At 65.8% G+C, this 26,179-nt stretch overlaps 1 protein-coding gene across 6 annotated transcripts, besides 6 other annotated features; it reads right to left on the minus strand.

The window, feature by feature from the left end:
• Nucleotides 1,796–23,666, minus strand: EPPK1 (epiplakin 1). Of its 6 annotated transcripts, XM_017013892.2 has the most exons (3): nucleotides 22,910–22,939; nucleotides 6,647–17,770; nucleotides 1,796–3,445 (listed from the first exon to the last, which is right to left on the minus strand). In XM_017013892.2, exons 2-3 carry the CDS (start codon nucleotides 17,723–17,725, stop codon nucleotides 2,459–2,461), a joined length of 12,066 nt encoding a protein of 4,021 aa, XP_016869381.2. In that variant the 5' UTR covers nucleotides 17,726–17,770; nucleotides 22,910–22,939; the 3' UTR covers nucleotides 1,796–2,458. The 6 variants fall into 6 exon arrangements, with proteins under 6 accessions (XP_016869381.2, XP_047278247.1, XP_016869379.1 ...); XM_047422291.1 differs by lacking the exon at nucleotides 22,910–22,939 and adding an exon at nucleotides 23,559–23,666 and having other exon boundaries at nucleotides 1,796–17,770; XM_017013890.2 differs by lacking the exon at nucleotides 22,910–22,939 and adding an exon at nucleotides 23,318–23,522 and having other exon boundaries at nucleotides 1,796–17,770.
• Nucleotides 2,216–2,718: an enhancer, noted in NCBI's record as "H3K27ac hESC enhancer chr8:144939917-144940418 (GRCh37/hg19 assembly coordinates)". NCBI's record gives its function as "activates a minimal SCP1, AML or CMV promoter by ChIP-STARR-seq in naive H9 embryonic stem cells {active_cell/tissue: H9 hESC(naive)}" and the evidence as "EXISTENCE:reporter gene assay evidence [ECO:0000049][PMID:30033119]".
• Nucleotides 10,723–11,222: an enhancer, noted in NCBI's record as "H3K27ac hESC enhancer chr8:144940419-144940918 (GRCh37/hg19 assembly coordinates)". NCBI's record gives its function as "activates a minimal SCP1, AML or CMV promoter by ChIP-STARR-seq in naive H9 embryonic stem cells {active_cell/tissue: H9 hESC(naive)}" and the evidence as "EXISTENCE:reporter gene assay evidence [ECO:0000049][PMID:30033119]".
• Nucleotides 18,385–19,076: an enhancer, noted in NCBI's record as "H3K27ac-H3K4me1 hESC enhancer chr8:144948081-144948772 (GRCh37/hg19 assembly coordinates)". NCBI's record gives its function as "activates a minimal SCP1, AML or CMV promoter by ChIP-STARR-seq in naive H9 embryonic stem cells {active_cell/tissue: H9 hESC(naive)}" and the evidence as "EXISTENCE:reporter gene assay evidence [ECO:0000049][PMID:30033119]".
• Nucleotides 19,787–20,429: an enhancer, noted in NCBI's record as "H3K4me1 hESC enhancer chr8:144949483-144950125 (GRCh37/hg19 assembly coordinates)". NCBI's record gives its function as "activates a minimal SCP1, AML or CMV promoter by ChIP-STARR-seq in naive H9 embryonic stem cells {active_cell/tissue: H9 hESC(naive)}" and the evidence as "EXISTENCE:reporter gene assay evidence [ECO:0000049][PMID:30033119]".
• Nucleotides 22,993–23,082: a silencer, noted in NCBI's record as "silent region_19626". NCBI's record gives its function as "represses an Ori minimal core promoter by ATAC-STARR-seq in GM12878 lymphoblastoid cells {active_cell/tissue: GM12878}" and the evidence as "EXISTENCE:reporter gene assay evidence [ECO:0000049][PMID:35858748]".
• Nucleotides 23,649–24,291: an enhancer, noted in NCBI's record as "H3K27ac-H3K4me1 hESC enhancer chr8:144953345-144953987 (GRCh37/hg19 assembly coordinates)". NCBI's record gives its function as "activates a minimal SCP1, AML or CMV promoter by ChIP-STARR-seq in naive H9 embryonic stem cells {active_cell/tissue: H9 hESC(naive)}" and the evidence as "EXISTENCE:reporter gene assay evidence [ECO:0000049][PMID:30033119]".

Genomic DNA, 26,179 nt, shown 5'->3' on the forward strand with positions numbered 1-26,179 from the left:
TATCTATTACTGCTGAGGCTGGGTGCGGTGGCTCACGCCTATAATCCCAGCACTTTGGGAGGCCAAGGTGGGCAGATTGCCTGAGCTCAGGAGTTTGAGACCAGCCTGGGAAACATGATGAAACACCACTGAGTAGAGACTAAAACACAAAAAAGCCGGGCATGGTGGTGCGCACCTGTAGTCCCAGCTGCTTGGCAAGCTGAGGCACGAAAATCGCTTGAACCTGGGAGGGAGGCGGAGGTTGCAATGAGCCAAGATTGCACCACTGCACTCCAGCCTGGGTGGCAGAGCAAGGCTCTATCTCCAAAAAGAAAAAAAAAATCTATACTGTTGAAAACAAAATTGCCACATTACCTGGTAGGATTTTCAATGCATGTAAATCTGATAACATGACAAAGATAGAATGGGGGGTGGGGGATGTGGAGGAAGAGACCACACCTCACATGAAGTGGCAGAGCGGAGACTCTAAGAAGACTGTCAAAAATCCTAAGTATACTGTAATCTCCAGGGCGACCAATAAAAAATTAGAAAACAATGGCCCAAAGCCAGTAAATTTAAATGGAACACTAAAAAATATTCCAATAATCCAAAAGAAGGTAGCTAAGGGAGGGGAAATGAACAAAAAACAGAGGAGGGAAAGGAAACAAAGAATAAGTCCAAACACATAATTACATAAAATGTAACGGTATAAATGTGCCAATTCAAACATAGAAATTGTGAAATTGGATAAAGATAACCCCACCCATTAATATGCTGCCTAAGGAGGCTCACTGCAAATACAATGACAAAGACAAGGTAAAGGTAAAAGGATAGAAAGACGTGGGTCCCATCACCACTAATCAGGCATGCTAATTCCTGCTTCAGCATTGCTGTAAAGTTCACAGTGAGAACTTCCGCAACACAGGCATCGGGCACACACACAGGACTTCCTCAAGAACAACAGGAAGAATGTGGTTGAAAGCACCCTGCTGATGCCTTTCCTCCACTTGTTTTTGAAGGTTCTCCCTGTCCCCCTTTTCAAGGCTAGTGCCCTGACCGCATCCCCCATCCTAGCCTTCATCATTGGTTGCACGTGGTCTGGATGAGAGCTATTAAGCGGATTGTGCCGAGTGCCTACTTTGGCATCTGTGAATGTTCGCACATGTGAACCCCACTACTGTTTCCATTTCCTTGTGGCCCCGTCCCCTCAAACCCACCTCCAGATGGGCCAGATGCTCCTGCAAAGGCCACACAGACCCTACCAGGGATTTTCTAGAGCCTGGGAGGCACATTTTGATGAGTTACCCTGGTGTCATTTCTGCCCTGAGGCCACTGGCTCTTCATCCAGAATGTCCAAGCCCTGTCCACTCTATCTGCCCTCGCTCCAGCCAGTCTAGCACAGGGAGTGTCCTCCACGGCGTCCATGCCCAGCCCGCAGGCCCCCAGGAGGCCAACCACACACAGCCACCAGGCAGAACACATGGATTCTTGCTGTGTTCTGCTACCATTGGAGACCAAGTGGCCCAGACGCCAAAGGCAACCCATGTGTGGAGTGAATGAAGGGGGGACTCGAAAGGGCTTGTTCTTTGTCACCTGCTCCAATTGCCACACTTCCATTAACAATGAAAGTTCTTGGTTCTCCCAGAAAACTTTGAGCAAGACTTAACTGCAACCTGTGTGCATAAAATTCTGAGATACGGCTCTAGGAACCCTGGATTTTGGACGGCTTGCTTCCCTTGTTTAATCTACTATCTGTATATTAAGGGCATAAAGATTAGTGATTGAACCTTCAAAAACCTGAAATCAAAAACAAGAGTTTCCTTCATATTTTACTTGTTCAGAATTTTTCCTAGTAAATTACTACAAAAAGTTCTTCTCCACAACAGACTCGCTCAGTCAACGCTAGTGAGGTCACACCTCTAAGGTGGAGCAGCAGCCAATGGAGAGAATAAAGCCCATGCTTTTGGCCAGCACAGCAGCCAGGGAAAGCCCGGGGAGGAGGACCGAAATAGAGCCAGGGCACTAAATAGTAGACACTGGCTGATGGAAAATGAGTTTGAAGATGAACGTGAATAGCACATCGTTAGGGAAATAACCGCATGTAATAAAAATTACACTGCAACAAGAGTACCCGATGGCATGATGGACTGAGAGTCTAAAGAGTGACATTCTGTAAAATGGAAGCAGTGAATCCAAAACAGACAGAAAAATGTTCTGAAAACGAAAAAGGAGAGAAAAGTAAAACCATATGACACATAGACGACCCAGAAAACACACCAAAAAACTTATGAAACACCTCGATGGACAAAGGAAAAGTTTCTGTCACATGACAACTTAAAACGTTTTCCACAGATAACGAATGGGTAAAACAACAAAATTAAAGAATGACAAAAAAAAAAAAAAAAAAAAAAACAACCCAGACACACAAGTATGCCTCCACTTCTCCAGAGTTGCAGAAAACTGCACGGAGGAAGCCCAGTCACTGTAGAGAGAGAGAAAGAAATAGGAGCCCCGTCTCAGGGTCCAGGGTGGCCCTCTGCAGAAGCTGCAGGTACGTGAGGTTCTCGTGCGTGTTGGGGTCGAAGAAGCCCTTGGTGTCGTCGCTGGGGTCGGCCAGGACGCGGTTCATCTCCTCGTCGAAGTAGCCGCGCCGGTAGGCCACGTCCACGGGCACGCGGTGGCTGTGCACGGGGTCGATGACGCCGCCCGTGGCGATCTGGGCCTCCAGCAGGCGGATGCCGTGCTCCCGGACGATGAGGTCCTTCTGCATGGCCTGGAAGAGGGAGATCTGCTGCCCGGTGTAGGGGTCGGTGTAGCCGGTGACGGCGCGCTCGGCCGACAGCAGCTTCTCCTGGATCTCGCCGCCCACCACGCCCGCGGCCACGGCCTCCTCCACCGACAGCCTCAGGTTGCGCACGGGGTCGATGACGAAGCCGGTGGCCGCCTGCGCCTCCAGCAGCACCAGGGCCGTGCCGGGCCGCAGCACGCCCTTCCACATGGCCTGGTAGATGCTCATCTTCTCCTGGCGGCCGGGCTGGTCCTTGGCGGGCACCAGGACGCCCGCGATGCAGCTGGTGCCCTCCAGGTAGCGCTTGACCGAGTCCATCTCCGTCACCTCCTGCAGCGTCTTAGTGCCCTGGGCCAGGTCCCGCAGGGTCTCGGGGCCCAGGATCCCGGACGTGTGCAGCTCGGAGGCGGACACCTGGCGCCTCAGGCCGCGGAAGGACACCTTGCTGAGCCGCTCCTCCGTCTCCTCGATGACCCGGGTGAGGACGGCGACGAGGTCGGGCAGGCCCAGGGCGCCGGCCGCGTGCTGGGCCAGGAGCTCGTCTCGGTGGGCCTCGCTCAGGTACGAGGAGAAGAGGACGTCCCACACGGAGACCGGCCGCCCCTGGAACTGCCCGCGCTGCACCTCCATGGTGGCATCACGCAGGGTCTGCTCCTGGCGGCGGGCGGCGGCGGCGGCCTCCTGGGTCTCGCCCTCCCCCTGGCCCTCTCGCTGGGAGCGCCCCGAGTCGCCGTCCCCTCGCCCGGCTGGCCCTGGCTCCCGCGGGCCGCGCCAGGCGTCCTGGAGCTGCGGCCGGGCCCCGGGGGCCTCCTCGGCCTCCTCGATGATGGCGGTCAGCCGGCGGGTCAGCGCGGGCAAGTCCAGGGTCCCCGAGCCAAACTCGGCCAGCAGCTCCTCCCGGGCGGCCCCGCTCACGTAGCCGGACGCCAGCACGTCCCACACGGGCACCGCGCGCCCCCGGAGGCGGCCCACCTTGACCTCCATGGTGGCCGCACGCAGGGCCTCCCGGGGGTCTGGGCGCGGGCTCCCGGCCTCGGCCTCGGCCTCGGCCCGGGCCTGGGCCTGGGCCTGGGCCAGCAGCGAGGTGAGGGTGGCGCCCAGCTCCTCCACGGTCAGCGTGCCCGCCCGGTATCTGCTCAGCAGGTCCTGGCGCCGGTCCTCGGACACCTCGCGGTAGAAGAGGAGCTCCCAGACGGAGACGCTCTGGCCCTGGAGGGCGCCCGAGCCTGGCATCACGCGGGCGTCGCGCAGGGCACAGCGCAGCTCCTCGCTCAGCTGGTGCACGGCGGAGCCCCGGCCTGCCAGCTGCAGCATGTAGAGCCCGGTGTCCGGGTCGGGCACGCAGCGGCGCAGCAGCTGCACGTACGTGAGGTTCTCGTGCGTGTTGGGGTCGAAGAAGCCCTTGGTGTCGTCGCTGGGGTGGGCCAGGACACGGTTCATCTCCTCGTCGAAGTAGCCGCGCCGGTAGGCCACGTCCACGGGCACGCGGTGGCTGTGCACGGGGTCGATGACGCCGCCCGTGGCGATCTGGGCCTCCAGCAGGCGGATGCCGTGCTCCCGGACGATGAGGTCCTTCTGCATGGCCTGGAAGAGGGAGATCTGCTGCCCGGTGTAGGGGTCGGTGTAGCCGGTGACGGCGCGCTCGGCCGACAGCAGCTTCTCCTGGATCTCGCCGCCCACCACGCCCGCGGCCACGGCCTCCTCCACCGACAGCCTCAGGTTGCGCACGGGGTCGATGACGAAGCCGGTGGCCGCCTGCGCCTCCAGCAGCACCAGGGCCGTGCCGGGCCGCAGCACGCCCTTCCACATGGCCTGGTAGATGCTCATCTTCTCCTGGTGGCCGGGCTGGTCCTTGGCGGGCACCAGGACGCCCGCGATGCAGCTGGTGCCCTCCAGGTAGCGCTTGACCGAGTCCATCTCCGTCACCTCCTGCAGCGTCTTAGTGCCCTGGGCCAGGTCCCGCAGGGTCTCGGGGCCCAGGATCCCGGACGTGTGCAGCTCGGAGGCGGACACCTGGCGCCTCAGGCCGCGGAAGGACACCTTGCTGAGCCGCTCCTCCGTCTCCTCGATGACCCGGGTGAGGACGGCGACGAGGTCGGGCAGGCCCAGGGCGCCGGCCGCGTGCTGGGCCAGGAGCTCGTCTCGGCGGGCCTCGCTCAGGTACGAGGAGAAGAGGACGTCCCACACGGAGACCGGCCGCCCCTGGAACTGCCCGCGCTGCACCTCCATGGTGGCATCACGCAGGGTCTGCTCCTGGCGGCGGGCGGCGGCGGTGGCGGCGGCGGCCTCCTGGGTCTCGCCCTCCCCCTGGCCCTCTCGCTGGGAGCGCCCCGAGTCGCCGTCCCCTCGCCCGGCTGGCCCTGGCTCCCGCGGGCCGCGCCAGGCGTCCTGGAGCTGCGGCCGGGCCCCGGGGGCCTCCTCGGCCTCCTCGATGATGGCGGTCAGCCGGCGGGTCAGCGCGGGCAAGTCCAGGGTCCCCGAGCCAAACTCGGCCAGCAGCTCCTCCCGGGCGGCCCTGCTCACGTAGCCGGACGCCAGCACGTCCCACACGGGCACCGCGCGCCCCCGGAGGCGGCCCACCTTGACCTCCATGGTGGCCGCACGCAGGGCCTCCCGGGGGTCTGGGCGCGGGCTCCCGGCCTCGGCCTCGGCCCGGGCCTGGGCCTGGGCCTGGGCCAGCAGCGAGGTGAGGGTGGCGCCCAGCTCCTCCACGGTCAGCGTGCCCGCCCGGTATCTGCTCAGCAGGTCCTGGCGCCGGTCCTCGGACACCTCGCGGTAGAAGAGGAGCTCCCAGACGGAGACGCTCTGGCCCTGGAGGGCGCCCGAGCCTGGCGTCACGCGGGCGTCGCGCAGGGCACAGCGCAGCTCCTCGCTCAGCTGGTGCACGGCGGAGCCCCGGCCTGCCAGCTGCAGCATGTAGAGCCCGGTGTCCGGGTCGGGCACGCAGCGGCGCAGCAGCTGCACGTACGTGAGGTTCTCGTGCGTGTTGGGGTCGAAGAAGCCCTTGGTGTCGTCGCTGGGGTCGGCCAGGACACGGTTCATCTCCTCGTCGAAGTAGCCGCGCCGGTAGGCCACGTCCACGGGCACGCGGTGGCTGTGCACGGGGTCGATGACGCCGCCCGTGGCGATCTGGGCCTCCAGCAGGCGGATGCCGTGCTCCCGGACGATGAGGTCCTTCTGCATGGCCTGGAAGAGGGAGATCTGCTGCCCGGTGTAGGGGTCGGTGTAGCCGGTGACGGCGCGCTCGGCCGACAGCAGCTTCTCCTGGATCTCGCCGCCCACCACGCCCGCGGCCACGGCCTCCTCCACCGACAGCCTCAGGTTGCGCACGGGGTCGATGACGAAGCCGGTGGCCGCCTGCGCCTCCAGCAGCACCAGGGCCGTGCCGGGCCGCAGCACGCCCTTCCACATGGCCTGGTAGATGCTCATCTTCTCCTGGCGGCCGGGCTGGTCCTTGGCGGGCACCAGGACGCCCGCGATGCAGCTGGTGCCCTCCAGGTAGCGCTTGACCGAGTCCATCTCCGTCACCTCCTGCAGCGTCTTAGTGCCCTGGGCCAGGTCCCGCAGGGTCTCGGGGCCCAGGATCCCGGACGTGTGCAGCTCGGAGGCGGACACCTGGCGCCTCAGGCCGCGGAAGGACACCTTGCTGAGCCGCTCCTCCGTCTCCTCGATGACCCGGGTGAGGACGGCGACGAGGTCGGGCAGGCCCAGGGCGCCGGCCGCGTGCTGGGCCAGGAGCTCGTCTCGGCGGGCCTCGCTCAGGTACGAGGAGAAGAGGACGTCCCACACGGAGACCGGCCGCCCCTGGAACTGCCCGCGCTGCACCTCCATGGTGGCATCACGCAGGGTCTGCTCCTGGCGGCGGGCGGCGGCGGTGGCGGCGGCGGCCTCCTGGGTCTCGCCCTCCCCCTGGCCCTCTCGCTGGGAGCGCCCCGAGTCGCCGTCCCCTCGCCCGGCTGGCCCTGGCTCCCGCGGGCCGCGCCAGGCGTCCTGGAGCTGCGGCCGGGCCCCGGGGGCCTCCTCGGCCTCCTCGATGATGGCGGTCAGCCGGCGGGTCAGCGCGGGCAAGTCCAGGGTCCCCGAGCCAAACTCGGCCAGCAGCTCCTCCCGGGCGGCCCTGCTCACGTAGCCGGACGCCAGCACGTCCCACACGGGCACCGCGCGCCCCCGGAGGCGGCCCACCTTGACCTCCATGGTGGCCGCACGCAGGGCCTCCCGGGGGTCTGGGCGCGGGCTCCCGGCCTCGGCCTCGGCCCGGGCCTGGGCCTGGGCCTGGGCCAGCAGCGAGGTGAGGGTGGCGCCCAGCTCCTCCACGGTCAGCGTGCCCGCCCGGTATCTGCTCAGCAGGTCCTGGCGCCGGTCCTCGGACACCTCGCGGTAGAAGAGGAGCTCCCAGACGGAGACGCTCTGGCCCTGGAGGGCGCCCGAGCCTGGCGTCACGCGGGCGTCGCGCAGGGCACAGCGCAGCTCCTCGCTCAGCTGGTGCACGGCGGAGCCCCGGCCTGCCAGCTGCAGCATGTAGAGCCCGGTGTCCGGGTCGGGCACGCAGCGGCGCAGCAGCTGCACGTACGTGAGGTTCTCGTGCGTGTTGGGGTCGAAGAAGCCCTTGGTGTCGTCGCTGGGGTCGGCCAGGACACGGTTCATCTCCTCGTCGAAGTAGCCGCGCCGGTAGGCCACGTCCACGGGCACGCGGTGGCTGTGCACGGGGTCGATGACGCCGCCCGTGGCGATCTGGGCCTCCAGCAGGCGGATGCCGTGCTCCCGGACGATGAGGTCCTTCTGCATGGCCTGGAAGAGGGAGATCTGCTGCCCGGTGTAGGGGTCGGTGTAGCCGGTGACGGCGCGCTCGGCCGACAGCAGCTTCTCCTGGATCTCGCCGCCCACCACGCCCGCGGCCACGGCCTCCTCCACCGACAGCCTCAGGTTGCGCACGGGGTCGATGACGAAGCCGGTGGCCGCCTGCGCCTCCAGCAGCACCAGGGCCGTGCCGGGCCGCAGCACGCCCTTCCACATGGCCTGGTAGATGCTCATCTTCTCCTGGCGGCCGGGCTGGTCCTTGGCGGGCACCAGGACGCCCGCGATGCAGCTGGTGCCCTCCAGGTAGCGCTTGACCGAGTCCATCTCCGTCACCTCCTGCAGCGTCTTAGTGCCCTGGGCCAGGTCCCGCAGGGTCTCGGGGCCCAGGATCCCGGACGTGTGCAGCTCGGAGGCGGACACCTGGCACCTCAGGCCGCGGAAGGACACCTTGCTGAGCCGCTCCTCCGTCTCCTCGATGACCCGGGTGAGGACGGCGACGAGGTCGGGCAGGCCCAGGGCGCCGGCCGCGTGCTGGGCCAGGAGCTCGTCTCGGCGGGCCTCGCTCAGGTACGAGGAGAAGAGGACGTCCCACACGGAGACCGGCCGCCCCTGGAACTGCCCGCGCTGCACCTCCATGGTGGCATCACGCAGGGTCTGCTCCTGGCGGCGGGCGGCGGCGGCGGCCTCCTGGGTCTCGCCCTCCCCCTGGCCCTCTCGCTGGGAGCGCCCCGAGTCGCCGTCCCCTCGCCCGGCTGGCCCTGGCTCCCGCGGGCCGCGCCAGGCGTCCTGGAGCTGCGGCCGGGCCCCGGGGGCCTCCTCGGCCTCCTCGATGATGGCGGTCAGCCGGCGGGTCAGCGCGGGCAAGTCCAGGGTCCCCGAGCCAAACTCGGCCAGCAGCTCCTCCCGGGCGGCCCTGCTCACGTAGCCGGACGCCAGCACGTCCCACACGGGCACCGCGCGCCCCCGGAGGCGGCCCACCTTGACCTCCATGGTGGCCGCACGCAGGGCCTCCCGGGGGTCTGGGCGCGGGCTCCCGGCCTCGGCCTCGGCCCGGGCCTGGGCCTGGGCCTGGGCCAGCAGCGAGGTGAGGGTGGCGCCCAGCTCTTCCACGGTCAGCGTGCCCGCCCGGTATCTGCTCAGCAGGTCCTGGCGCCGGTCCTCGGACACCTCGCGGTAGAAGAGGAGCTCCCAGACGGAGACGCTCTGGCCCTGGAGGGCGCCCGAGCCTGGCGTCACGCGGGCGTCGCGCAGGGCACAGCGCAGCTCCTCGCTCAGCTGGTGCACGGCGGAGCCCCGGCCTGCCAGCTGCAGCATGTAGAGCCCGGTGTCCGGGTCGGGCACGCAGCGGCGCAGCAGCTGCACGTACGTGAGGTTCTCGTGCGTGTTGGGGTCGAAGAAGCCCTTGGTGTCGTCGCTGGGGTCGGCCAGGACACGGTTCATCTCCTCGTCGAAGTAGCCGCGCTGGTAGGCCACGTCCACGGGCACGCGGTGGCTGTGCACGGGGTCGATGACGCCGCCCGTGGCGATCTGGGCCTCCAGCAGGCGGATGCCGTGCTCCCGGACGATGAGGTCCTTCTGCATGGCCTGGAAGAGGGAGATCTGCTGCCCGGTGTAGGGGTCGGTGTAGCCGGTGACGGCGCGCTCGGCCGACAGCAGCTTCTCCTGGATCTCGCCGCCCACCACGCCCGCGGCCACGGCCTCCTCCACCGACAGCCTCAGGTTGCGCACGGGGTCGATGACGAAGCCGGTGGCCGCCTGCGCCTCCAGCAGCACCAGGGCCGTGCCGGGCCGCAGCACGCCCTTCCACATGGCCTGGTAGATGCTCATCTTCTCCTGGCGGCCGGGCTGGTCCTTGGCGGGCACCAGGACGCCCGCGATGCAGCTGGTGCCCTCCAGGTAGCGCTTGACCGAGTCCATCTCCGTCACCTCCTGCAGCGTCTTAGTGCCCTGGGCCAGGTCCCGCAGGGTCTCGGGGCCCAGGATCCCGGACGTGTGCAGCTCGGAGGCGGACACCTGGCGCCTCAGGCCGCGGAAGGACACCTTGCTGAGCCGCTCCTCGGTCTCCTCGATGACCCGGGTGAGGACGGCGACGAGGTCGGGCAGGCCCAGGGCGCCGGCCGCGTGCTGGGCCAGGAGCTCGTCTCGGCGGGCCTCGCTCAGGTACGAGGAGAAGAGGACGTCCCACACGGAGACCGGCCGCCCCTGGAACTGCCCGCGCTGCACCTCCATGGTGGCATCACGCAGGGTCTGCTCCTGGCGGCGGGCGGCGGCGGCGGCGGCGGCGGCGGCGGCCTCCTGGGTCTCGCCCTCCCCCTGGCCCTCTCGCTGGGAGCGCCCCGAGTCGCCGTCCCCTCGCCCGGCTGGCCCTGGCTCCCGCGGGCCGCGCCAGGCGTCCTGGAGCTGCGGCCGGGCCCCGGGGGCCTCCTCGGCCTCCTCGATGATGGCGGTCAGCCGGCGGGTCAGCGCGGGCAAGTCCAGGGTCCCCGAGCCAAACTCGGCCAGCAGCTCCTCCCGGGCGGCCCTGCTCACGTAGCCGGACGCCAGCACGTCCCACACGGGCACCGCGCGCCCCCGGAGGCGGCCCACCTTGACCTCCATGGTGGCCGCACGCAGGGCCTCCCGGGGGTCTGGGCGCGGGCTCCCGGCCTCGGCCTCGGCCCGGGCCTGGGCCTGGGCCTGGGCCAGCAGCGAGGTGAGGGTGGCGCCCAGCTCCTCCACGGTCAGCGTGCCCGCCCGGTATCTGCTCAGCAGGTCCTGGCGCCGGTCCTCGGACACCTCGCGGTAGAAGAGGAGCTCCCAGACGGAGACGCTCTGGCCCTGGAGGGCGCCCGAGCCTGGCGTCACGCGGGCGTCGCGCAGGGCACAGCGCAGCTCCTCGCTCAGCTGGTGCACGGCGGAGCCCCGGCCTGCCAGCTGCAGCATGTAGAGCCCGGTGTCCGGGTCGGGCACGCAGCGGCGCAGCAGCTGCACGTACGTGAGGTTCTCGTGCGTGTTGGGGTCGAAGAAGCCCTTGGTGTCGTCGCTGGGGTCGGCCAGGACACGGTTCATCTCCTCGTCGAAGTAGCCGCGCCGGTAGGCCACGTCCACGGGCACGCGGTGGCTGTGCACGGGGTCGATGACGCCGCCCGTGGCGATCTGGGCCTCCAGCAGGCGGATGCCGTGCTCCCGGACGATGAGGTCCTTCTGCATGGCCTGGAAGAGGGAGATCTGCTGCCCGGTGTAGGGGTCGGTGTAGCCGGTGACGGCGCGCTCGGCCGACAGCAGCTTCTCCTGGATCTCGCCGCCCACCACGCCCGCGGCCACGGCCTCCTCCACCGACAGCCTCAGGTTGCGCACGGGGTCGATGACGAAGCCGGTGGCCGCCTGCGCCTCCAGCAGCACCAGGGCCGTGCCGGGCCGCAGCACGCCCTTCCACATGGCCTGGTAGATGCTCATCTTCTCCTGGCGGCCGGGCTGGTCCTTGGCGGGCACCAGGACGCCCGCGATGCAGCTGGTGCCCTCCAGGTAGCGCTTGACGCGGTCGTCCTCCATGAGCTCTTGCGTCGTGCTCCGTCCCGTTTCCAGGTCCTGGAGCATTTCCTCCGTGATTATGGCTGAGCTGAGGAGTTCAGAAGCTGTGATCTGTCGTCTAATTCCTTGGAACCACAGGTGTTTGTTGCTGGTTTCCTGCTTCTCGATCAACTCTAAGATGAGCTGCGCTACCGTCTGCAGTGCCCGTCTGGTGTGTGTTCTATACATCCTCACCAGCTGGAGCTTCTTCTCCTCTGTCACGTATTCGGAATTCAGTAGTGCCCACAGTGTTGGTTTCTGGCCTCTGAACCTTCCCACTGTGATTTCCACTTGCTCTGCCTCCAGGGCCCTTCTCGTCTCGTCATCGATGTGCTCGGAGTCCCGTGCAGCCTTGTTCACTGGGAACAGCAGCCAGCCCGTGTCCTCTTGTGGGCGGCACCTCTCCTGCAGCTCTCGGTACGAGACCTTCTCTTGCGTGTTCGGGTCCACAAACCGTTTCCTCATGTGCTTCTGGTCGGAAATGAGCGCATAGATGTCCTTGTGCAGACAGCCCCGTCTGTAGGCTGTTTCCAGTGGGAGCCGGTGGTGGTGCTGTGGGTCGATGACACCCCCCGTGGCCACCTGCACCTCCAGCAGCCTCAGTGCCTCCGCCTTCTCGATGAGCTGCTTCTGCATGGCCTGGAACAGCGGGATCGTGTCTCCTGTGGCCGGATCCCTGTAGCCCGTGGCAGCTCTTTCAGCCTTCAGGAGCCTCTCCCGCAGCTCCTCGTTCACCAGGCCCACATCCACAGCCTCATCCACAGAGAGCTTCTGGCGGGTGCAGGGGTCCAGGAGGAACCCGGTGGCGGCCTGCGCCTCCAGCAGCCAAGTCGCAAATGCTGCAGGGATGAGCTCCTTCCTGCTGGCCTCATGGAGGCTCATGACCTCCCTGGTGGAGGGCACCGTGACCCCCGCAATGCAGCCGCTGCCTTCCAGATAGGGCTTCACACACTCCAGCGTGCTGAGTGCCTGTCCCCCAGTCCTCCCCACACGAAGTGTGTGCAGGGTCTTCTGATCGATGACCCTGGAGTTGAACAGGTCTGCAGCTGTCACCTCCCCTCTGATGGCCGCCACTTTGATGCCTTGGTTTTGCGTCTCTGTTTCTTCAATTGTCGTGGTGATGATTTCCAGCAATTTCTCCAGGCCCCCACTCTGGGCTCCATACTCCTGGATGAGCTCCCGCTTCCTGTCCTCTGTGAAGTATGGAGAGGACAGCAGGTCCCAGAAAGAGACCACCTGGTCAGCAAACCTCCCCACGCGCATTTTTGCAGTTCTGGATTGCAACACGTGTCTCGTGGCCTCATTGATGTACACGTAGTTTTCTCCTTTCTTTATGATTTGTAGCAGGTACAGGCCCGTCTCGGGGTCCTCCACACAGCGCTCCAGAAGCTGCAGGTACGTGAGGTTCTCGTGCGTGTTGGGGTCGAAGAAGCCCTTGGTGTCGTCGCTGGGGTCCGCCAGGATGCGGTTCATCTCCTCGTCGAAGTAGCCGCAGCGGTAGGCCACGTCCACGGGCACGCGGTGGCTGTGCACGGGGTCGATGATGCCGCCCGTGGCGATCTGGGCCTCCAGCAGGCGGATGCCGTGCTCCCGGACGATGAGGTCCTTCTGCATGGCCTGGAAGAGGGAGATCTGCTGCCCGGTATAGGGGTCGGTGTAGCCGGTGACGGCGCGCTCGGCCGACAGCAGCTTCACGTAGGTTTCTTTCCCGAACATTCCTGCTTTGAACGCCTCCTCCACGGTCAGCTTCCGGTTCTCCACGGGGTCGATGATGAAGCCGGTAGCTGCCTGTGCCTCCAGCAGCACCAGGGCTGTGCCAGGCCGCAGGATGTGCCTCCTCAGGGCCTCTGGGATGCTCATCCTCTCCTGGGTGCCCTGGATAAGGACCCCGGCAATGAAGTTGCCTCCCTCCAGGGACCGCTTCACGCTGTCCATCTCCGCCACCTCCTTCACAGTCGTTGTCCCCTGGCTCAGCTCGTCCAGCGTCTTCCTGCTGATCAGCTGCGCCCTGAACAGGTCCCTGGCTGACACCTGCTTCCGGAGCCCTCTGAAGGTGGCCTGCAGGGGCTGCCTCTCTGCAGCCTCGACCAGGGTGGTGACTGCGCTGACCACCTGCCGCAGGGCCGCAGCCCTCCCAGACCGACAGAGTGCCACCAGCTCCCGCCGCTTGTCAGCGCCAACGTATTCGGAGAGCAGCAGGTCCCAGAGTGACACGCTACACCCCTTAAACCTCCCTGTGCTGACGGGCACCTTCATGGCCCTCAGAGCCACCGCGGTGTGGTCGTCCACCTCAAGCACTGTGTCTGAGGGCAGTGGCAACAGCAACAATCCGGTCTCGGAGTCGCACACGCAGCGCTCCCTGAGCTGCTGGTAGGTCACCTGGTCCCGCGCACTGGGGTCAAAGAAGAACTTGTTGTCCTTGTCAACTGCAGTCAGCACCTGGCTCGTCTGTGTGTCCAGAAGGCCGAGTCTGCAGGCTGCCGCCTGGGGCAGGTGCACCCCGTGGACAGGGTCCACCACACCCCCTGTGGCCAGCTGCACCTGCAGGAGGGGCAAGCCCTCGTTCTGTGGCACGAGCCCCTTCTCCATGGCCTGCCACAGAGAGAGGGAGGCCCTAGAGTAGGGATCTGGGTACCCGGCCGCCGCCCTCTCGGCCTGCCCGAGCTGCTCACTCAGCTCCCTGCCCACCAGGCCGACCTTAACCGCGTCCTCCACTGACAGTCTCTGGTTGTTCAGGGGGTCAACAAGGAAGCCAGATGCCACCTGGGCTTCCAGCAGCCTCTGGCCCAGGCCTGTGGGCAGGAGGCCATCCCTCACGGCCTGGGCGATGCTGGCCTTGGCCCCAGAGGGCTGTAGCAGCACACCGGCCACGCAGCCTGTGCCCCACAGGCAGGCCTTCACCGCCGGCTGCTCGGCGACCTGGGCGGGCGACTGCGTGCCCTGAGCCAGGGCCTCAAGGGTCTCCTGGGTGATGATGCCAGCATCCAGCAGCCAGACAGCGGGTACCTCACCCCGTGGGCCGGGCACCATGACGCGGGCCTGGGCCAGGAGCTTGGTCTCCTGTACCCACCTCTGCACAGAGGCTAGCAGCTGTGGCACAGTGGTCCTCCCCTCCTGCACGTCCTCCAGCAGGCCCCTCCGTTGCTCCTCGGTGAAGTGGCAGGAGCTGAGCAGGTCCCAGAGGGATGTGCCATCCTTGGCCCCCGGCACGGCCTGCAGGCTCCTCTGGACCTGCTCCTCGGTGGGGAGGGCAGGAGCACTTTCTGGCAGGGGCAGGAGGTGAAGGCCAGAAGTCTCATCCCTGGGGCACTCCTCCAGGAGCTGGGCATAGCTCGTGCGCCCCTGGCCGTCCGGTGTGGGGAAGGTTTCGGAGGAGCTGGACAAGGCTGTCTCCATCTCCTGGTCAACATAGCCACGCTGAATGGCCACTGGCATGGGGAGGTGGTGGTGGCTGGTGGGGTCAATGATCCCTCCTGTGGCCACTTGAGCCTCCAGGAGGCGGGCAGCTTGCTCCCAAGGGATGAGACCTTTCTTCATGGCCTGGAACACAGACACCTGCTTCCCAGAGAAGGGGTCTCTGAAGCCAGCAATGGCACCCTCAGCCCGCTTCAGCCTGCCATACAGCTCCGGCCCCACCACACCCCTGCGCACGGCCTCATCCACCGAGAGGCTCTCTGGGCTGTGAGGGTCCATGATGGTTCCGGTGGCCGCCTGGGCCTCCAGCAGGGCCAGGGCCACCCTGGGCCCCAGCAGCTTCTGCCTCATGGCCTGGTAGAGGCTGAGCCGCTGGCCAGAGGGCAGCAGCCGCACACCGCCCACAGCTCCCAGGCCGCACAGGTACCTGCGGACGCCGTCCATGAGTAGGAGGGCCTCCGGGCTGATTGTCCCGGCCAGCACTTGGTCCAACAGCTGCTGGTCAATGATACCGGCCTCCAGGAGCTGGTGGACGGTGACCCGGCTCCGCAGTGCGGGCAGCATGATGTCCGCCTGTCTCTGCGTCTCCGCCTCCAGCAGCTTTGCCACCTGCCCCAGCGTGACCTCGCGCTGCCGGTAGCGACGCAGCAGCTGCCTCCTGCGGCCCTCGCTGAAGTACTCAGAGTTGATCAGCTCCCACGCGGAGACCCTCTGCCCCTGAAACCGTCCATACTTCACGGAGAGCAGCAGGTTCTGGAAGGCCTGCTGGGTGGCACTGTCCACCAGCGGGGACTGCGTGCTGCTGAGTGGCAGGAGGTACAGGCCCGTCTCGGGGTCACGCACACAGCGCTCCAGAAGCTGCAGGTACGTGAGGTTCTCGTGCGTGTTGGGGTCGAAGAAGCCCTTGGTGTCGTCAGAAGGGTCCAACAGGATCAAGTTCAGCATCTGATCGAAGTAGCCGCGCCGGTAGGCCACGTCCACGGGCACGCGGTGGCTGTGCACGGGGTCGATGACGCCGCCCGTGGCGATCTGGGCCTCCAGCAGGCGGATGCCGTGCTCCCGGACGATGAGGCCCTTCTGCATGGCCTGGAAGAGGGAGATCTGCTGCCCGGTGTAGGGGTCAGTGTAGCCAGTGACAGCGCGCTCAGCCGACAGCAGCTTCGCGAACACATCAGGCCCAATGACAGCAGCCCTCAGTGCCTCCTCAACGGAGTGCCCCTTGTTTGCTTTTGGGTCGATGATGAAGCCTGTGGCAGCTTGTGCCTCCAGAAGGATGAGGGCAGTGCCGGGCCGGAGGAGCCCCTTGCATCGGGCCTCATAGATGCTCAGGCGTTCCTGGGAGCCAGGGAGCAGCAGGCCAGCAATGCAGCCCGTACCCTGCAGGTACCTCTGCACCGAGGCCAGGCTGCCCACATCCTTGGCTGTGGCCTGTCCATGCTCCAGCCGCTCGTACAGGTCCTGGTCGATGATCTCGGCTTTCAGCAGCTCTCCTGGTGTCACGGTGTCCCTCAGCCCAGAAAAGGTGACCCTGGCAGTGGCTGCAGCCTGCTCGAGGGTGGCGCTCAGCTTAGCGGCCAGCTTCTCCACGGAGAGGGTCCCTTCCTGGTACTGCTGGGCCAGCATCGCCCTCTGCTCTGAGGAGATGGCCTCAGAGAAGAGCAGCTCCCAGAGGGACACGGGCCGGCCCCGGAACTTCCCCACAGAGACGGTGGCTGTGGCCGTGCTCAGGGCCTGCCGAGTGCTGTACTTGATGAATGGGGGTCCCTGGGGCTCCCCTCCCCGGGGTCCCCCTGAGAGTGGCAGGAAGGCAAGCCCGGTCTCTGGGTCGGTGACACAGAGGGCCAGCAGCTGTTCATAGCGCAGGCCGCCGTGCGTGCCGTCTGAGAAGCTGCCAGCCTGCGAGAGCTGCCGCTGAGTGTCTTCATCCAGGCAGCCGCAGCGCAGGGCGGCCTCCAGGGGCAGCCGGAGCCTGCGTGCTGGACAGACCAGCCCGCCTGTGGCCAGCTGGGCATCCAAGAGCCGCAGTGCCAGTGGCCTGTCCACTAGCCCCTTCTTCATGGCCTGGAAAAGGGGGATTTGGGAGCCACTGAAGGGGTCGTGGTGCCCTGTCACGGCCTGCTCGGCCACCAGGAGCTGCTCATGGAGCTCTGGGCTGACCAGGCCCGCCCTGACTGCCTCGTCTACCCACAGCCGCTGGCCTGTGATGGGGTCCACCAGGGTGTGGGTGGCAGCCTGGGCCTCTAGGAGTGGCAGCGCGGTGCCCATTGGGAGCAGGTGCTCGGTGGCAGCCTGGAAAAAGCTCTTCTTGTGGCCTTCGGGCAGCAGGACAACCCCGGCCACGCTGCCGGTACCCTCCAGGTAGCGCCGCACCTCGGCACGTGCACTCACGTCCACTGCGGCCAGCCTGCCCTCCCGCAGACCCTGCACAGCCTGCTCGTCCAGGATGCCCACCTCCAGCAGCTCAGCTGCACTCACCGCCCCGCCCATGGAGCGGAAGGTGATCTTGAGGGGCAGCAAGGCTAGCCCCGAGCCGGGGGCACGCACACACCTTTCCAGCAGCTGGTGGTATGTCAGCCGCTCCAGCGTGTTGGGGTCGAGGAAGCGCAGGTCACCTGTGCCAGGCTCAAGCTCTGACAGCTTGTGCCATGTCTCCCGGTCCAGGAGGCCCTGGTGGCAGGCTGGCTCAGGGGCCACGAGCACTCCCTGGGCGGGGTCCACCAGGCCCCCAGTGGCCAGTTGGACCTCCAGCCAGCTCTGCCCCAGGGCCCTGTCCACAACCTCCTTCCCGATGGCCTGAAAGAGGGCCAGCTTCTCACCGCCGTAGGGGTCAGGATAGCCCGTAGTGGCACGCTCAGCGGCCAGCAGCTTCTCCTTCAGCTCCAGCCCCACCAGACCCTGCTGCAGGGCCTTGGACACAGGGAGCAGCTGGCCCCGGGCGAGGTCCACCAGGCCCCCAGTGGCTGCCTGGGCCTCTAGCAGAGCCTGCCCGAGCCCAGCAGGCAGGAGGCCCTGCTCCATGGCGGCGTAGACACTCTGGGCCTGGCCCGAGGCCTCCACATACACCCCAGCTATGCTCCTGGCCTGGGGCCTGGGGGGCGTGCCGGCTCCCAGCGTGGCTGCCATGGCTCTGGGTACACTGGCCTGCTCTGTGCTGTTGGTGCCTGGGACGGGAAGAGGAGGCAAGGTGTGGCCACTCATCACACACGGCTGGTTATGCAGAGCCTGCTGAGGTCCACCTCTGTCCTGCAGGGGACAGAAAGGCTCAATCAGGGACCCCGCATGGCCTGGTGGGCACGAGGGAAGATGCGGTCATGGGGCAATCCCATGCTGTCCCGGGCTGGGCTCCACCCACAGACGTGCAGCTAGAGTGTCCCCGAGGAGCTGAGTCTGCCCAGGAGCACTCTGCCGCGGGGGTGCCAAGGGAAGTGCCAGCTCAGAGGGACCATGTGGGCGCAGGCACCCAGGCGGCGCCGGGAGGCCTCTCGGGACTCCAGGGCTGTCCCTCCCGCAGGCTGTCCTTCCACCTCCACCCCAGGCCAACGCCCTCCCGCCAGCCCAGGGTCCTGTGTCCTCGAGTCCTTCCTGGGCACCCTGGTCCCATCCTTAGCCCTGCCCGAGGGGCCCAGCCCTGCTCCAAAAGGGCTGTGGCTCCACCCACAGGGCCCGCCCCTCAGCCTGGGCACCGGCATCTCCCCACCTTTTGTTCTCCAAAGGCTCTGCCCCATGCCCTGCCCCACCCCAGCTCCAGTGATCTCTTGAAACCTCCCACCCCACCTGGACCTGTCACTCCAGAGAAGCCTCTGCCACCTCCTGCTGGCTCCTGAGGTCCCGCCCTCCCTCCACAGCCATCCACCAGGCTCCAGCAAGACCCCAGCCCTCTGAAGCCCTGGTCTCCTGCCTCAGCCTGGCCCTGCATCCTCCTCTGCCTGTCCTGGATCTCACATCTGCGAGCACCACGGCCTCTGGGCTATTGCCCCTCTGAGCCCACACCCTGCCCCGGGGGCCGCAGGCTCAGCAGACGTGTGGCAGTCCTGCCAGGAGCCGGGTGCAGGCCAGGCAAGGCTGTCTCTCCCCCATGGGCCCTGGTCCTCCGGCTGCAGCCCCGGCATGCCCTGCGCCAACCCCTTCCACACACAGCTGTACGACTGGCCCTGAGCAGAGCAGCAGGTGCCTCACCTCCATCCCCACCACTCCTGCACGTCAACTGCCTCCACCCAGGCCTGTCCCCTTCTGCACCAGATTGAATTATGTCCCTAAAAACGTATGTCTAAGTCCTAATCTACAGTCCCTGTGAATGTGACCTTATTTGGAAATAGGATCTTTGCAGATATCACCCAGTTAAGGTGAGGTCATACCGGGCTAGGATTGGCTGTTATCCAACATAACTAGTGTCCTTATAAGAAGACACACAGGGAGAGGGCGGCCGTGTGACGACAGAGGCAGAGATTGGATCTATAAGCCAAGGAATTCCCAGGACGCCTGGGGCCCCAGAAGCTGGAAAAGGCAGGCAGGATCCTCCCCTCGAGCTCCGGAGGAAGTGCGGCCCTGCCCACTCCTCGCCTTCCGGCTTCTGGCCTCTAGAGCTGTGAGAGCAATTTCCTGCTCTTTAGGCCCCTGGTCAGTGTTCTGCACCCCTGTGCCCACCCACCCAGGAGCAGGGTCTGCTCCCCGTTTTCTCAGCACTACGGGCCCCAGTCCCTCTCTTGATTCTCCCCCTCATTCCAGCTGGAACCTCCCTCTGCTCAGCAGCCTGTCCATGACAACCTTTCCCTACCTCTACACAAGGTCTCAGGAGAAGGGTCGGATCCCACGTTTGACCCCCACCCCCACTCCACCGCTCTTGAGGCAGCCACCACCCCCGGCTGCCAAACTCGACAAATGCATTTTGGAGCTGGCCCCCACCCACCTCCACCACATGGGCTATGGGGGCTCCCCTCTCCAGTGACAGGGTTCCGCTCCATCTTCGTTCACCCATTAACTCTGAGACCTCCTCCCACCTACCCTCAGCTCCCCAAATCTGCAGCAGGAGCCCAGCCTGTCCTGGGTCCCAAAACCATGTGCCCAGCTGCCTCCTGGAGGTCTCACAGGCACCCCATGCTGCTCATGCTCTGGAACATGCAGAGCCTAACCCTAGAAGGCACTGGGTCCTCCCCATCCCCTCTCCCCATGTCTGGTCTCACGAAGGGCATGCTCCAGGGGCAACTCTGAGGGCTGTCGAGGCTCGTAGATGCCCCTCAGGACCACCTGTTAAGACTGCAGCCCACCTACCCACCTTGGCAAAACCCTGGCCCTCTCCCTTCCCTTCTGCAGATACTGGTCCCGGGCCTCCTCCAGGCATCCTGCTGCTGACAGGCTGCTCAGAGCCTCAGACACGGAGCTGGGACCAGGAGGGCTCACCATCACCTCACTGGCCGAGTGCAGAGAGCCAGGGCTCCAGGAAGCAGCATTGCAGCTCAGCTGTCCCGAGGGACCGTGCTCAGGACACAGTGTCAGGTGGCTGGGAAGACGTGGAGGATTCAGAGGACCATGGAGTAGGGCTGCTGGTAAACGACCAGCATTGGAGAAAGCTCACAAGAGGCTGCAGACGTCTGGCCAGCTGGCCGGTGCGCCACAGGGATGCCTGGGCGCTTGTCTTCGTGGTGCAATGGGCCACGGGCCCGCTGGCCACATCACAGTCTGCCCCAGCCAAAAGCTGCTGGCCTGACAGGATGTAGGAATCACTTCCTGAAGGCACAGCCGGGGTGCCAGCTCCCCAGTGACGCCTTGCAGGCTAGGGCACCATTCTCCAGGAAGTCGGCTATACCACTCCAGAACGTGGCTTCCCATGTGCGTGTGTCCCAGGAGGTGGGTCACAGGGGCCCAGGAACCAAGGCCTGGCACAGTGGCCCCCACCCCCCACCCCCCACTGACCTATGATGGAGCTTGGGCTCCTCGACCCCACAGCTCTGGGGCGGGTGGGCTTAGATGTCCTGGTCCCTGGAGTAGGAACACTTCTGCCAGGGGACACAGCTAGTGTCACCAAGCCAAAGGCTATGCTGCTCCCAGGCCCATCATGTCCCAGGAGCAAGCAGCCAGGAGGAGGCTCCCATCTGGCAGGGGACAGGCCTGAGCACCAGGAGGCGGCACCACAGGGGCAGACAGGGTGCAGGGACCTGGTGTGCCCTGCCTGGTTCTCATGGTAAATAGAACATCACCCCCAGCCCTAGAGGGGACCCTCAGGGAAGAGGACCTGGTCACACCTGACAAGCCCTGAGCCAGCAGGCGCGCCCGGGTTGAGGGCATCCAGTCTGGAGGACGGGGAGGCAGCCCCAGGGGCCAGGTCCACCCTGCAAAACTTGTTTCTGCACTTCCCCAGGAAGAGGCCAGGCTCAAGGGCACAGCCTGACCGGGGTGGCTACGGGGCTGTCCAGATCTGCTTCTGGGGGGTACATGAGACGGCAGGACAGGCCAGCTTCTCCTTCGTCCACCTGCTTCCTCCTCCCTTCCCTTCCTGAGGCCATCCTGAGACCACTCCCGGTTACCCCTGCCTCAGACAGACTCTGCTTCTGGGAACCCAGCCTGGGCGCTTTTGTGTCCACCTCTACTGGCACCTGCCTCCCCTAGGGCTGGGCCCTCTCCAGCACGCCTCGTTCCAGGACCCTCCAGGATCTGTGAGCCTAAGGCAGCCACTCACTATGGCATCCAGGCCAGACGAGGGGCTTCTAGGGGGTCAGGGCCCTGCCCTGTCCCCTGACATCCGGCCAGGGATGGCGGTGAGGAAATGAGAGGAGCACCTGATTTCCCAGCAAGGGGGAGGGGCAGTGCGGGCCAGGGTGGGGCAGGGCCAGCGAGGGCGGGGCAGGGCCAGTGAGGGTGGGGACAGCACCTTGGGCGGGCCCCTGACCTGCGCACAGGCCGCCAGCCCAGACAGGCCGCGTGCTAAGCGGGCCTCGTAAGCTCAGGCAAGTGGCTCAAGTTCCCCAAACAAAGAGGAGATCCAGGGAGGAAGGCTGGAGACAGGGCGCTTGGGAGCAGGGAGTCGGGGGCAGGCTTGCCCTGCGTGTGTGAGTGTGCCTGCCAGTGCATGCCCCGCACCATGCGTGAGATGCGGCCTGTGGCTGGCTGCACCACTCCCTATCTCTTCCTGACCTTGGGCCTGGTATGAACCCCTCTGGGCCCTGCCCCTTCCCTGGGCCCTGCCCCTTCCCAGGCTTGGCAGGAGGAAGGCCCGGGAGTGGGTGTCTTGACTCCATGTGGGGCCTGGGAGGGCAGCTGGACAGAGGGTCCGGAGCGAGGGGGGGCAGGGGGTGCAGCTTCGAGTGTGGGGGCATCTGGAGGAGGTGGCTGCTGCCTAGGAGAGCACGGGGTCAGGGTTAGGGTGATGGGGTGGGGAGGAGGCCGAGCAGATTTCCCCGGAGCCTGAGGCACAAAGGGCCCCTCCTGTGGATTCCCCACTTCAGGTGGCCCCCAGGCCCCAAGTGGTGGAGGGCCGTTCCTGAGGAGGGTGGGTCTGCATCTCTTGGGTGAGGTCACTGTCTGTCACCAGACTGCCCGGCAGGCCCCCACCGCAGCCTGGGACAAAGGTTGGGGAGGCTGCAGCCGCCTGCCTGAGTCAGGTCAGGACAGACCCTGGCAGCTGCCTGGGCCCACACAGGAGGCAGCAGCCTTAGCTTCTGCCCGGCTGTGTGCCCTTGTGGGAAGACCCCACCCACCTGCAACCTGCACCATGATCAGAGATCAGTGGCCCCAATAACAAGCTTGGCACAGTGCAGCGGGGGCCCAGGGCAGGGAAGCAGAGCCCTGGGCCCAAGTGATGAACAGGGCCCTTCCTGCCTCTGCCTCCCACGGGTCTCCAGGCGACCGTGTGACCGCTTACCTGACCCGGAGTGGCCACCCCTGGGACCGCTCACCCAACAGCAGGCAGCTTCCCCGGATCCGTGACGCCTCCCTCCCGGCAATGTTGCCAGGAGTCACCCCTCTCAATTTGTCGGCCTAGCTGCCTCCTGGCCTGGGCGTTCCCCACCCTGCAGAGCGTGCCCCGGGCGGTCCTCGCTGCAGGGAAAACCGCTGGGCCTGCGAGACCCCCGCCCCTGGCCGCCTCTCCCGTGAGGGCTCGGGGCCGGCGCCTCCTCTTCACCGGCGCCCGGGACTCAGGGGCGCCACTTCGGACTCGGAGCTCAAATTGCCCAGGGCGGGAAACCTGCCCGGCCAGAGCCCAAGACCCCGCTGGCCGCCGCGCCCCTACCCTGGCCTCGGCGTGCGGCTCCAGCGGGGATCCGGTTTCCTTCGGCGGCCGCCGCCCCGCCCGGCCCCGAGCCCGCACCCGCACCCGCCGCACCTGCCCGCACCCGCCGCACCTGCCCGCACCCGCCGCACCCGCCGCACCCGCCGCACCCGCCGCACCTGCCCGCTCGCCGCTCGGTCCGCAGTGTCTCCGCGCGCCCGCTCCGCCCGCATTTCAAGCCCCACAGGCCCCGCCCCCGTCTAGGGCGGCGCCCAGGTCGGGGCCCCGACGCGGGGCGGGGCGGGGCGGGCAGGTGCCGGAAACCCCGCGCGGCCCGGGCCTGGCGCTTGCACCCCGGGCAAGGGGCGGCGGCTGGGCAGCCGGGACCCTCCCCTCGTCCCCAGCAGGGAGTCACCGCGAAGGAACGCAGGGCGGGCGCGGAGGCGTCCTGTGCCCTTCAGAACAGCTTTTTTTTTTTGGGAAAGGAGTTTGGAGTGAAACGCGGACCGGCCAGAGCGGCGGTTTCTATCCCCACAAGCCACTAATGCGGTGCGGGCTGGTGTCCCTGCCTCCAGCCCCGACCCCACCTTGTCTGCTCAGCTTCCTGGGGACGCTGCTTCACGTCGTGTGTCTGCTGGGTCCAGGGGTCTTCAAGGCTCTCCTTGGCAGGCCCCCCTGCCCCCATGACGTTGTAAGAGCTGGGATGTCCTGCCTGGAGCAGTGCCAGGCCTCACCCCCCGGTCTGGCTCCTCCACCTGGGCACAGAGAATGTTCCCTGTCACCCTGGGAGTACCTGGTCCCCTCTCTGAAGCCCATCCTGGCACCCACCTTCCAAGGCTGGGGCATGCCAGAGACACTGGGCATGGAGGCTCACAGCCTCGGGGGCTGGCCTGGGGGCAGCCTCAGCCTGGCACGGGAACCTTCCATGGATCTTCTGGAGGGCCCTCCCCTTGGCTGCCCCGATATCCCAGGTGGGCAGGGCCACGGAAGTACAGGGCCCAAAGCCCCTCCTCCTCTGTCCCCAAGGCCCCTCCTCCTCTGTCCCGTAGTCCTGGAGGTCCTGAGGGCTCAGGTGCTCCCCACCCCCACAAGTGCCCCCTTCTCCCAAGCTCCAGCCCCCACCTCTGCCTGAGTCATTCTTGACCAGAAAATCATCCAGAGCCAGCCAGCCACCTCCAATGCACACCATGAGGGTAATTGCAGGCGCCCACGCAGGTGCAGGAGGGACAGGTTAGGCCTTCAGGGGTTAGGGTGCTTGGGACCACTGCCCTGGCTCTGCTCTCACCCACCCACCAGGTCCACACTCACACCTGCTCACCCAGGCTGCCTGGACCCTGTCCACACCTGCCACACTGGCCGCACAGCATGGCTGCTGCCGACTGCGGGGCCCTGACCCCAGAGGAGCTCTGGTGGAACCCGCATTTCCCCAAGGCACTGCCAGGCCAACCGCATCCATCCCCAGCCCTGCTCACCGGATGCCTGGACACTGTCTGTGTGGTCTTGCTGGGAGGCATGGTGGTGCTGGCTATGGCCTGTGGCCTGGAGCACACCCCAGAGCCACTTCTTCCTGCGGTGAGCCATTGCAGGCAGCGCCCCTGCCAGGCCACAAAACCTGGGTGTATGCCAGCCCCTCGCTGCAAGAAGGGGGTGTTAGGCTGGCCAGACCAAGCCTTCTTGTGTGCCCAGGGACGGGCCACATGCCTGTCTGCTCCTCACCCCTCCGGTATAGGCAGGTGGCACAGAGCTGGCCCTGCTCCGCTGCACCCATTTCTGCCCGTCACCCCTCCAGTATAGGCAGGTGGCACGGAGCTGGCCCTGCTCCGCTGCACCCATTTCTGCCCGTCACCCCCCTGGTATAGGCAGGTGGCATGGAGCTGGCCCTGCTCTGCTGCACCCACTGGCATCTGTCCCCTGGCTCCTCTCCCTCGGCTTTGTCTTCCTGTGACTCCAGATCCCCTGCCCTGTGGTGGCCCCCAGCCCAGTGACCTCTGGGGACACCTCTGGGGGCAGACTTGGGTGCCTGCCCTACTCCCCAGGTCCCTGGGCCACTCCCAGTCAGGGCTTCTGGGAGCCACCACCTCCCCAGGGGCTCCAGTCCAGTGCTTCAGCCCAGCAGTCCCCGGAGCCACAGGCCACTCCTCCAGCCCCCAGGCCTGGGCCTATACCACCTACACAGCAAGGAAGGGCATCAGGGAGGGTGTCAGGAGGTGAGCGAGAGGGCTCCCATGCCCAGTACTGCCCACGGCTCTACCCACCTCCTCCTGGCACTGGCACCTAGCTTCCCCCTGCAGGTCAGGGAGGCTCTCAGAAGACCTGGTCCAAGGAGGGAGGTCCCAGAGCCCCAAGACCAGTGCCCACGCTGCCCCTGGGCTGCTCCATGGAGTCACCGTGCTGGTTGGAGCCTTTGGCCAGGATCCCCATTGGTCCCTTGGAGCCTGGCATGGCCCAGCTCGAAGGGGAGTGCCCGCCATTGCTCCATAAAGCATCTGGGAGCAGGGTGTCCCCTCCACGGCACATGGCCCAGAGAGGAGACAGGGCAGATGCAGGCAGGATGGAGGGCCCGGCGGGAGCGGGTGGGACAGAGCTGAGCAGCAGGCTGACCTCTCCACCAAGGGCCTGGACATAGCAGCCGGCAGCTCCAACCGCAGGCCCAGGTACAGGGGGCGGGCAGCCTTGGGGGTGAGCCTTCCTCTCAGGCTGGGTGCCCTCACAGCAAAGACATGGGCTGCTCTCCCAGTGGCTCTCAGGGGACACCTGCCATCAGGGGAGCCCAGTGATGCAGCTGCCTCCGGGGGCAGGGAAGGGCTGAGGTGGGGGTTGGAGCCCTGCTGCCTCTGTCCCCCACGGAACCACCCCCCACATCCCAAATTCTCTTTCTCCACACCCTCCTCGCTGTGCGTCTCACTGATCCCCCATCCCCAGTCAGCCAGGGTGATGACACGGGCTGGCCCAGCTTCTCCTGCCCAGGCCTCGGAAGCCGGCCGGCACGAGGAGCACAGCCTCTGCCTGCCAAAGGCCCCCATGCTGCTCGGTCAGGGCCAGGAGAGGAAGGGCCAGAGGATTCCTCCCAACTGTGGCTTGAACTCCATCCCCCAAATTCCTACGTCGAAGTCCAGACTCCAAATCCTCTGGGAATGTGACCTTCTTTGGAAGCAGGGTCGTTGCAGATGCGGTTAGTTGGGATGAGGTCATGCTGGAGTAGGCGGGCCTCATCCCATGTGCCTGGTGTGCTTTCAAAAAGGGGCATCGGACACAGACGAAGACCCACAGAAAGGGAAGATGATGTGAAGATAACAGGAAGAAGATGCCGAGGAGAAGCCTGGAGCTGGGTCTCACCTCATAGCCGCTGAGGGAAATAGCCCTGCCCACATTTCCATTTTAGACTCTGGCTTGGAGAGCTTAGGGTCGATAGTTTCTGTTGTTTGAGTCACCCCATTGGTGGTGGTTGG

The sequence above is a fragment of the Homo sapiens genome, chromosome 8 (assembly GCF_000001405.40).
Source record: "Homo sapiens chromosome 8, GRCh38.p14 Primary Assembly".
Classification (NCBI taxonomy): domain Eukaryota; kingdom Metazoa; phylum Chordata; class Mammalia; order Primates; family Hominidae; genus Homo; species Homo sapiens.

Excerpts from the sequence above, each read along its gene's own strand:
- EPPK1 (XM_047422291.1), bottom strand. The coding sequence starts at position 23,594 with ATGCCCAGTGTCTCTGGCATGCCCCAGCCTTGGAAG. Across the intron at positions 17,771-23,558 it reads GCATGCCCCAGCCTTGGAAG|GACAGAGGTGGACCTCAGCA; the intron begins GTGGGTGCCAGG and ends TGTCCCCTGCAG.